This window comes from Homo sapiens, chromosome 13 (genome assembly GCF_000001405.40).
Source record: "Homo sapiens chromosome 13, GRCh38.p14 Primary Assembly".
NCBI lineage: Eukaryota > Metazoa > Chordata > Mammalia > Primates > Hominidae > Homo > Homo sapiens.
The window spans coordinates 62,899,436-62,911,941 of NC_000013.11; the positions used below are offsets into that span (position 1 = coordinate 62,899,436).

Here is a 12,506-nt window from a genome sequence, read left to right on the forward strand (position 1 = left end):
CTATTTAGTTAACATTGTACCAATGTAGAACTAAAATGTTCTCATTATATTTTGCATTTATTGTTCTATTTGGTATTAGTTTTATTCCAAGTGAAATTTATTTTAATTAACTTAAGTGGGAAAATATTTTATTTATGCAGTTATTTACCATTTTTTATTGCCTTTCCTTTAAGCTTTACCTTCTAAGTTTAATTCTAATTTGACCTTTTTTTTTTTTTTTTTTTTTTTTTTTTTTTTTTTTTTTTTTTTTTTTTTGAGACAGGATCTCTCACTCTGTCACCCAGGCTGGAGTGAAGTAACACAATCATAGCTCATTGTAACCTCAGACGTCTAGGCTCAAGCAATCCTCCCATCTCAACTTCCCAAGCAGCTAGGACTATAGGTACATGCCACCATACCCAGGTAATTTCTTTTACTTTTTTTCTTGGTTTTTTAATTCTTTTGTAGAGACAGGGTCTCACTATGTTGCCCAGGCTGGTCTCTAACTCCTGGCTTCAAGCAATCCACTCACCTTGGCCTCCCAAAGTAATGGAATTATAGGCATGAGCCACTATGCTTGGTCTCAACATATTTTTTAATATACTTTTATTGGCTGAAGTCTTTTAGAAATAAGAACTATGTCTTTTACATTTCAATTTCTTCCACATGTCCTTATGAAGTGATTTAATTTTAAGTGATTTAATAATTTACTCTATGAGTTCCATAAATCTATATGAATAGTAATCTGTATTAAATATTAAATACTCTTCAAATTATCATTTTAAATATAGCAGAACTGAGATAGTTATATTAGAGAGAATTCTTATTTTTGCCATATTTATTACAATTTTTGTGTTTGAAAAAAACCCAACTACTGTATCACAGAAATACATTTTCTTCTAAGTTAAAAGAAAAATTTAGCCACAATGATGAACAATATAAAACCTTAGATTTACATTTCATTGCACATTAGATTTATGATTTTGGGGTTTTCATAACTACGTATTTCAACACTATTTCCTTAAGTACAGCGATATCATTGATGTATGAAATGAGGAAAAAACCATAGTCATAAGCTTCTTTATGCAAACAAACAAAAATATATAAACATAGTTTTGGTTTTTTTTTTGCATATGACATGATCTTATGTGTTTATATTTTGCATACAAGATCCACTCTCTGGAGCTCCTTTTTGCTTCAAGGTTGCTTGATGAAGTTCTATTTAACTTTCAGGGAACCATTGTTACAAATTTTGGAAGTCTTTTTTTAAATTTTTATGTAAAATATGTATTTTTTAAAAAGTTTATGTGCTTATTGCAGGAGATTTGCTTAATACAAAAAAAAGAAAAAACACCATCATTTCATAATTCATAAAGAGCTATTGTATTTGTTTACAACCTTTCAGATCTGCCTATACATGTACATTTTTTAAATAAATCAACATAGTTATCATCCTATTATTGTTATTCTTTAATCTGACATTTTTACTCTTTAAACAATATATTGTGACCATATTTTTTGGTCAATAAATATAAATCTACATAGGTAATTTATCTATGGTGTTAAGTTATTGGCCAATTTCTAAATTATCTAAGTGATTATTAATTAATATGCATTTAAATTTTTCTCAATTTGTCACTATTGAAAACAATGTATATTCTTGTATATGTTTTTACACGCTTGCCAAATAATGTCTCAGATGTTTATAACACTTGTTTTTAGTCAGTAAATGTTTTTAAATTAATCATTTGATTCTAGAAGTTTTAGATAAACATTAAGAATATGAAGATAGTAAAAAGAATTTCCTTACACCCAACAACCAGTTTCCTCTGTTACTAGGTGAGTGCAAAAGTAATTGCAGTTTTTGCATTGTTGGAATTTAATGTTTGATATTGGAATACATTCTTAAATAAATGTGGTTTTTTTATACATCATTTAATGAGCAATTCTTGCTTTATGTTTTTTGCTAATGGTGTATTATTTGCTGTTTATTTTAGACTATGGAAATAATGTTAGACAAAAAGCAAATTCAAGTGATTTTTTTATTTCAATTCAAAATGGGTCTTTATTAAAGCAGCAGAGACAACTTACAATGTCAACAATGCCTTTGGCCCAGGAACCTGCTAATGAACGTACGCTGCAGTGGTGGTTCAGGGAGTTTTGTAAAGGAGAGGAGAGCCTTGAAGATGAGGAGCATAGTGGTCGGCCATTGGAAGTTGACAATGACTAATTGAGAGCAATCCTGGAAGCTGATCCTCTTACAACTACACGAGAGGTTATTGAGGAACTCAACATAGACCATTCTATGATCTTTTGGCATTTAAAGCAAATTGGAAAGGTGAAAAAGCTTGATAAGTGCATGCCTCATGAGCTGACTGAATATCAAAAAAAAAAAATCACAGTTTTTGAAGTGTCATCTTCTCTTATTCTAAGCAACAACGATGAACCATTTCTCTATCTGACTGTGACATGAGATAAAAAGTGGATTTTATACGACAACCAGTGATGACTAGCTCAGTGAGTGGCCCAAGAAGAAGCTCTAAAGCATTTCCCAAGGCCAAACTTGCACCAAAAAATGGTGATGGTCACTGTTTGGTGGTCTGCTGATGGTCTGATCCACTAGAGGTTTCTGAATCTTGGCGAAACCATTACATCTGAGAAGTATGCTCAGCAAATCGAGGAAATGTACCAAAAACTGCAATGCCTGCAGCCAGCTTTGGTTAGAAAGGGCCCAATTCTTCTCCATGACAACACCCAACTGCATCTCGCACAAAAAACGCTTCAAAAGTTGAACAAATTGGACTATGAAATTTCGCCTCATCTGCCATATTCTCCTGACCTATCGTCAACTTACTACCATTTCTTAAAGCATCTCAATAACTTGCCAGGAAAATGCTTCCACACCAGCAGGATGCAAAAAAAAAAAAAAAAAAAAAAAAAATGCTTTCCAAGAGTTTGTTGAATCCCAAAGCATTGACTTTTACACTACAGGAATGCACAAAGTTATTTCTCATTGGCAAAAATGTGTTGATTGTAATGGTTCCTATTTTGATTAATAAAGATGTGTTTGAGTCTAGTTATAATAATTTTAAATTCATGGTGCAAAATCACAATTCCTTTTGCACTAACCTATTGAGAGCTTACTTTAGAATAGCATATTTTTTACAATTACTGAATCAATATTGGTGCATTATTATTAAGAAAAATCCGTACTTCATTCAGACTTTCTTAATTTTTACCTAATGTCTTTTAGTTGCTGTTGTTCTAGGAGCTTATGCAGGATACTATATTACATGCAGTTATTCTGTCTTTAGGCTCCTCTTGGTTGTGACTGTTTTTCAGACATTGTTTTTGGATGGCTTAGGAGTTTTGAGAAATACTGGTCAGGTATTTTCTACAATATCTCTCAGTGGGATTCGTCTGATGTTTTTCTCATGATCAGACAAGAGTTTTTGTATTTTGGGGAAAAGACCACAAAAGGAAAGTGCCTTTCATGAAGGCGTATATACTAACAATATGAATTATTACACTTAATGTTAACTTTAATCACTTAGGTGGGGTCCGTTATCCGATTTCTCCTCTGAAAAGTTACGTTTTTACTACATATTGATAAATTATAATTTTATGTATTTATAAGGTGAAAAGTGATGTTCTTATTTTCTAATACAAGGTGGAAAAATTAAATTAGGATAATTAACGCATCCATTGCATCAAATATTTAATATTTTTGTGATTACTATTTTTTTTCCTTCTTTCCATTCTATACATTTTGGAAGAAGGTTATTATGCACAACCCATGCTTAAAGAGTAGGCAGTTGTACCAATTTACGGTCCCACCAACAGTGTACATGTATACCAATTAGTACAGCCACTATGAAAAATGGTATAGAGGTTCCTCAAGAAGGTAAAAATAGAACTACCATATGATTTAGTAATCCCACCTCTGGGAATCTATCCAAAAGAAGGAAAATCAGTATATTGAAGAGATATTTGCATCCTCATGTTTATTGCAGCACTGTTCACAACAGCCAAAATATGGCATCCACTTAAATGTCTATCAACAGAAGAATGGATAAAGAAAATGTAGAATATATAGACAATGGAAAATTACTTAGCTCAAAAAAGAATGAAATATTTTCATTTGTGGCAACATGAATGCAACTGGAAAACATTACATTAAGAAAAAGAAGCCAGGCACAGAAACACAAATATCATATGTTCTCACTTATATGTGGGAATTAATGTGTCTCATGAAGGTATTTAAATAGAATGGTGGTTACCAGAGGCTAGGAAGAGTAGGGGAGATGGGTAATAAAAAGAGGATGGATAATGGGTACAAAAATGCAGTTAGGAAAAAGAAATAATTTCTAATGTTTGATAGCATAGTAGTGTGACTATAGTTAACATATTTTATTATATATTTTAAAATATCTAGAAAAGTAGATTTGGAATGTTCCCAACACAAAGAAATGACAAATGTTTAAGGTGATGGGTATCATAACTACTCAGATTTCATTACTACACATTGTAGGTTTGTATCAATATATCACATGGATCAAAATATCACAAAATATCCCATAAATATGTACAACTATTTGTTGTACATAATGTTTTTTAAGTGAGAAGTTGTACTCCACCTCCTTGAAAGCAGAGTATTTGCACAAATTATTTAAGATCTTCTGAGCTGGAAATTTGTTTATTCTTTACATTTATTTATTTATTCAATTATTTATATGAGCAAAGACTCAAAGATATTCATTTTACACATTATATTCTTATTCAATAATATTTTATTTTGTTGCTCAAATTGTTTCAACTTTGACCTTTGCGAGCTCCGGCCCTTGTGTACCTCTCACATAACCCCATAATTGTGCCTATTTTTAAAGTACCTCCTATTAATTAGCAAGTATAATTACTCTCCATGTTAAAAAAAAAAGAGAGAGAGATAAATATAAACTGTATAAAATTTAACAAAAATTCCCAAGTTCACATGAAAAGAAGTGACTTACCATGATTGTAATTCATACAACTTGACTCCAGAGCCATACTCGTGGTTATGAGTCTTTCGGTTAATGGTTAGGCAGCAGAAATTTGAATGGATAATTTAAAATATCATTTTTGAATGGATAATTGGCTGTCTGTTTCCTTTTAAGTATAGCCAACTGGTTAAGAGGAGCTCAAGGGATTTGATTTTATAAGTGACATCTATATTGGGAAAAATAATGCATTGGTTACCTAATGTGATTTAGAGTCATTTACTGCTGAATTTATTTATTTACTTGAGAAATGTTTACTTTGCTATTACAGTGTCATAATCTTATAGTAAATATAAAGTCCTATTCTAATTTATCAATAGTTTATGACATTTTAAGTCAAAGTTTGAAATATAAATATATACTACTTCAAATGTAAAAATAATTATAACATTATTTTTGTGCACATCTGCTGAATGAAAAAGTAGAATGTACAGTAAAGCAGGACAAATTATTGTGTATTAATTTACTGGACACTGAGCATGAAACTGAATTAGTGTATGAAATTTCACAAGTTATCCTCATGTTTATAAGCTTAAAATGTCTCAAAGAGTTGAGAGACACATCTTCATTGCGTCTTCCATCTGCCTACTCTTTTACAGTACAAAAATGAGTACCTGAAAACTAAAATTCATTTGGCTGTAGATGTATATCTAGCTGTTTTATGTCTGACAATTAATTATACGTGTGGGACCAGCAGCAAAGCAAAGATATACAAATAGAAAGTAAATTAGTCATCACTGTATATCTCTATATTAAGTAGATTGAATAAAATTTTTTAAAAAATGATGTGGGACAGATAGAACCTTGATATATGGATTAAGCTAAAACCCTGTTATTGGTAACATTAAATTTGTTTTAATACACTCATTTTTCATACTGTTGCCATAAATAGGATTTTTGTTTTTAGTTATAATACTGAAATTGTATGTTGCTTTGATCAAAACTTATATCAATGATTCCTTTGGCCAAAAAACAATTCATGTAATCAAAAATCTATTGTAAAATGTCCAGCTTCATTTTTAAAATGATTTAAAAAACTAGTAACTTACTTTAACACTGATTTATTTAAATTGTTTTTTAAAGAGTGAAATAGAAAGAAGAAAATCTATTCATTTAGAGACATTTAGAAACACTCCAGTGCTTATTATCAACACCTCTCATGCAAAATATTTAAAACCTGATGATACAACTTTACAGTAATTGAAGTGTAGAAGATCTAGAGTCACAACAAATCAATACTACTATATAATATCATTGTGATACATTGTCTTAACCTTAAATGGTTTATATTACCTGGTTATTTTTAGGTCATTCCTTATGAGGAGTTGTTGTAACCATTTAGGGAGAAATAACAATAGAATTACATTTAAATATATGCATTGTCTAAAATGGGAAGTAATGTTTTTAAAAAAATAGATATTAACTACTACTAGTAAAAACTTAAATTTTCTACTTATTAATTTTGTTGTAGTTAATTATATAGATGATTACTTTATCTTCCGGGTTTCAGGATAACACTCTTAGCTAGACCAATATTTTACATCTTACAGTCGAAAATTCTCTCCAGTTATTTATTTGTAATTTTCTAGAAAATTAACTTTAAGAGTTTGTTAAGTTAATAAAGGCTGGTGATTTTCCTTTACAAACAAACCTTGTGGTGTAAACCACTGTACTACTTTCTAGGGTATAGTGCATCTCTAGACTCTGAGGACTTTCAGATTTATCATAATGAATTTCTTTGCTATTTATTTTCTTTGATGATGGCTTCAGTTCCAATTATCCTGGATATGCTAAGTAATTTATCACTTGCTACCTGATTTGCAGTTTCCCTTGTCATTGCACTTGATATCCATAATTTTGTTAAATAAAAAATATTTTAAGGAGGCAAATAAAAGTAAATTCTTTCTTTCGGATAACACTATATTTAGGCCTGTGTCAGGGAAAAACTGCACACTGGATGGAGTTAAGAAGCAAGGAAAACTTCATTCAAAACTATTACAATGAGAGAGAGAGAACCTAAACCCACTGAAACAAAAGGGGGGAAGTTTTAAGCACTGAGGTGGGCTAGTAGACAAGGAATGGAGGACACTGAGAGGGTAAGGGGTGGCTGGTCAATGTGGTTAGGGCATCTGCATTTGCTGACTGGTACTTAGTGATGTCAAGCTTCTACCTTCCCATAGAGACTGGGAGACAGGGTCTTTATCCTCCTTGATAATTACACTTCAAATAATGACTACCAGGTCTTTGAAAAAGGCATTTCTAGACTGTAAAACTGTCAAGACATTGGGAGAAGATTTATATCTTCAATGGGCAGAGAAAGAATCTTCTATTATAAGTTCTCTAAAGAAATTGCTCTAAGCAAAGGTAGCTTTAGGGTCTAGAGTCAATAAGAAGACTGACCAAAGTTTAGTCAAGCTGAGGAAACTTTAAAGCCATAATGATCATTTGACAAATATACAGATTTTTAAAATACAGCCAGATTGTTTAACAACTGTGCAATGTAGCATTTATGGTACATATTTGTACATATCCATTTTAAACACTATGTTATTGGGAGTGTAAAAGAGAATCAATGTGCTGCTGGAGAAACTGTCACCCTAGAGATCAGGAAAAATGTCACAGAGAAAGAGAAGGTGACACTTTTTATGATGCAAATTGCTTCAACATCAAGAAAGAACCTCTAGAGGTTTCTAGCTCTTCCTTGATTGATGGCTACATGGAACATTTCATTGCAGGAAATCCAATATAATGTGACTATTAGATTAACATATAATGACAAATGAGCTTGGTCTAATTTTGGGAAGTTTTATAAGAATTATTTTAAGTAGTATAATGATTTGCAGATTACTAATTACCATATGTTTTATTTTAGACTGTCTGAAAGGATACTTTTATTAAATGCTTTAAATTATTCTATTATAAAAGAAAGCATATTTTTATTTGTAAATTTCCAGAGATTATGTATTTTAATTCTGTCTCAAATGTACTTAATACATATTTTCAACAATTTACATGTAAAAATATATTACAATATAGGAGTGAGACATGTTGTAAAATAAAATGTCTTTACATTTTAATCAAATAAAACCAATGCAAATGTTTGTATTTTATATTTATCCTAATCTTTAAGGAAATGTTGTAGTAGGATTCACTTTTAATTTTCCAAGTTTAAGGTAATTATTTTAATTTTGAGTAAGGAAAGGATATTCCTTTAGCCTCATGTTATTGCAAATGGAGTTAAAATTGTCCTGTATTAAAATAAGAAAGAAATGGCAAAAGTGGATGGAAGTTTTAAATTTTGTGTTTATTTTTAGAGCCAAGTGAATTTTCCATTGATATTTTAGAATATCTTTAGAATATTATTATATTTTTATTATTTATTATACAAAGTATATTTACTTTGTTTCTTTTATCTTTGAGGATTGTTTTGCCTTATGATGTGCTTGATTGGTATGCAGTATTTGTAAGATATAGGCAAGGAATGTTATAGAATAATTGTGAATATTACCTCTTTAAATATTATTGCATATTTAAATTCTCCTAGGCTATTTTTGTGGTTGGAGAAACTGAGCCTCAGATAAGTAACATGTATATAATCACAGGACGGTTAGTGTGTGGGGCTATCCTTGTAAGAAATGTATTTTTCTCAAGCTTGGTAGAAAATAGAAATATCTCTCCCAAAACACTAACACACGGGAGAAAATGAGGCTAAAACAATGGACAAATTAAAATCTAAGAAATCAGAAATAATGTCCTGAAGCTATCAGGTTCAGACCAGAGGCTTATATAGAAACTACATAATGATTTCTCAAATCCCCAAGCAAAAACTCAAGTTACAACAAACACATAAATAAATATATAAATAAATTAGTAAACAAACAGCAGGAAGGTCAATAATGTGAGAATGAAAGTTTTTCTGGGTCATTATCAAGAACTTTTCCTATTTGTAATTTTCATTTATGTATTAGGCAAATAGTGGTTCTCGAAAAGACTCTTCAGGCTTACAAGGTCATGACTTTATCTTGGCATGCTCCATAAATTGTGACTCTTGGCGATAGTGCCAAGGAGAATCAAGTACTTTACTCATCATGTAAAATGCTTCCCAGATGTTGAATTTCAGGATGTCATCTGGAGTGCAAAATGAATAGCATGTGCTAGTGGGTCACACAGCAGGTAGAAGAAAAGATTTATGTATTTGGAAGTGGCTGACAGAGATATAAAGGCAAATGGTGTGGTTTCCATGAACCTGAATGTTCTGTATCGTACACTTCTTAAAATGCCTAGTTCTTTCTATTTACACTGTGAAACTCTTGCCACAAACTTGTTTAACAGCATAACTCATTGTAGCCATTTGAAAGCAGAAATGTTTTGTAGTATGTAACAAATACCCAATGTTTTATCAGGAATACATTGTTTATATATTTCATCTTATATTTATTTACTCATTCATACTAAATCAATTTGACAATTTACTCATTTATTAAGAAATATTTAAAATTTGTGGCTAGTGCTTGGTAGAATGATGAAGATAGGTAAAATTTCTGTTTTCAAGCCATTTACATTGCAGTGAAGAGGATATAAAACAAAATAAAAAGTAAGTGTACAGAATATCAGGTTAAAAGTTACGAATAAAAATAAAGCAAAGTAATGGTGTTGAGAATAATGTGATTGTGGGAAATATTTTAGAAATAGTTGACAGAGAAGACCTCTGCTATAAATTTCACTCAGGAATCTAACATTAGGTGAAATAGGGAGTCACGTGGTAAGTGTAAATAAGTGTAAAATTACCAGTAATTAAGGTCTTTGAAAACTATGAAAGAACACTTACTTTAATAAATGTTTAGGAAATGTTTTTCAGAGTATATGAACCCAGTTTTAATGGGTAAAATCATTTTAGAAATATATATGGCCACCAAGAGAGCCTTTTAGGAAGATGGACATACAAACACAGGTGATGAGATAAAGAAATGAATAGCAATATTAATTAGAACATCCATATAAAACATAACATTGCATCCACATTCACCCCTAGAAAATGAAATGAAAAGTCAACAACAGGTTAACAACAGTTAAGTAGGTGGACCCAGCTATAACTTTTGAGACATAATCAGAAGAAGCCTTATACATCCTTATTGCCTGTCTTAGTACATCCATGCTGTTATAACAAAATACTATAAACTAAGTAGCTGTGATCCCTAGTCTTGATAAGCAACTCAGTAAAGTCTCAGGACACAAAACTTCAGTAAAGTCTCAGGATACAAAAAAGACAAAGGAAGTGAGAGATCTCTACAAGGAGAACTACAAGGAGAAAACACCCACAGAAGAAATTGGACATGACACAAACAATGGAAAAACATCTCATGCTGATGATTTGGAAGAATCAATATCATTAAAATGACTATACTGCCCAAAGCAATTTGCAGAGTCAGTGCAATTCCTGCCAAATTACCAATGTCATTTTTCACAGAATTAGAAAATAAAATTTTAAAGTTCAGATGGAACCATTTAAAAATGGCCAAATAGCCAAAGCATTCCTAAGCAAAAAAAAAAAAAAAAAAATCTGGAGGCATCATTTTTTTCTGACCTCAAATTATACTACAATTCTATAGTAACTAAAATAGCATGGCAGTGGTACAAATATAGAAACATAGATCAGTGGAAAGAATAGAGAACACAGAAATAAAGCCACATACCTACAACCATGTGATCTGGGATGATGTCAACAAAAGTAAACTATAAGAAAAAGACAGCATTGTCAACAAATGGTGCTGGGAAAACTGGCCAGTAATATGCAGAAGAACAAAACTGGACCCCTATCTTTCACCATATGCAAAAATTAACTCAAGATGGATTAAAGACCTAAACGTAAAATCTGAAACTATAAAAATTCCAGAAGACAACCTGGGAAACCTCTTCTGGACATCAGCCTAGGCGCAGAATTCATGACAAAGGTCCCACAAGCAAGCACAACAAAAACAACAATAAACAAATGATACATAATTAAACTAAAAAGTTTTTGCACAGAAAAATAAACAATCAACAGAGTAAACAAACAAACTACAGAATGGGACAAAATATTTGCAAATTGGCCTCTGATATACACCCTGAATCCACAGCGAATTCAAACAATTCAACAAGAGAAAAACAAAAAACCTCATTAAAAACTGGGCAAAAGATATGAACAGATATTTCTCAAGAGAAAAAAATGTAAGCAGCCAACAAACACATGAAAAAAATGCTCCACATCGGTAATTATCAAAGAAATAAATTGAAACCATACTGTGATATCATCTTACACCAATCAGAATAGCTATTATTAAAAAGTCAAATAAAAATAACAGATGTTGTCACAGATGCGGAGAAAAGGAAACACTTATACACTGTTAATGGGAATGTAAATTAGTTTGACATCTATGGAAAATGGCGTCCATCCAGCAATCTCACTACTGGGTATCCATCCAAAGGAAAAAAAAAGCATTATATAAAAAGACATTGCACTCAGCACTATTCACAATAGCAAAGACATAGAAATAATCTAAGGGTCCACCAACAGCTGACTGCATGAAGAAAATCAGGTATATATACTACTTGAATACTAAGCAGTTGTAAAAAGAAATGAATGCAATTATGTCCTTTGCAGCAACATGGACAGAGCTGTAGGCCATTATCCTAAGTGAACTAAAGCAGAAGCAGATCAAATATCACATATTCTCACTGTTACACAATTGGTACATAGAGTCATAATAATGAAGATAAAAGACACTAGGAACTCCAAAATGGGGCATAGTGGGAGGGAAGTGAGTGTTGAAGAATTTCCTATTAGGTACAATGTTCAATATTTGCGTGATGGGTCCACTAGAAGCCCAATCCCCACATTATGCATGTAATGCCCTAGCACACATACCTCCTGAACCTAATTCAAAAAAAAAAAATAAGAAAAATAAATAACAGAAATTTATTTCTCACAGTTCTGGAGGCTGGAAAGTCCAAGATTAATGTGTCAGCAGATTTGGTGTCTAGTGAGGACCTGCTTTCTTATAGACTGTGCCTTTTAACTGTGTCCTCACATGGTGGAAGGGGTGACCTAGCTCTCTGGGGTCTCTTTTACAGGGGCACTTATCTCATTCTTGAAGAGAAAGCCCTCATGACCTAATCACCTCCCAAAGGTTCCATCTTCTAATTACCTTGGTGATTAGGTTTCAACATATGAATTTTGGGTGGACACAGACATTGAGACCATAGCATCATTTTAAAATTCATTATAATTTTAGAGGTGAGAAATCAAAGGCATGGATGCATAGGCAACTTTGTCAAGTTCAAATAACTAGTGAGTGATGTAAGGAAGCCTGGGTACTGGCCAGGTGCGGTGGCTCACGCCTGTAATCCCAGCACTTTGGGAGGCTGAGGTGGGCGGATCACGAGGTCAGGAGATCGAGACCATCCTGGCTAACACGGTGAAACCCTGTCTCTACTAAAAATACAAAAACAAAA

General features: G+C 31.9%; 1 long non-coding RNA gene across 1 annotated transcript in view; it reads right to left on the minus strand.

Moving 5' to 3' along the window:
* The window catches only part of LOC105370234 (uncharacterized), a 75,553-nt gene extending 63,443 nt beyond the window's left edge, over positions 1–12,110 (minus strand). Inside the window, exons 1-2 of the long non-coding RNA XR_942014.2 lie at positions 11,982–12,110; positions 4,989–5,184 (exon numbers count right to left, since the gene is read on the minus strand). This is a non-coding gene — a long non-coding RNA (uncharacterized LOC105370234). The remainder of the gene's footprint in view (positions 1–4,988; positions 5,185–11,981) is intronic.
* Between the last annotated feature and the right edge of the window lie 396 nt (positions 12,111–12,506).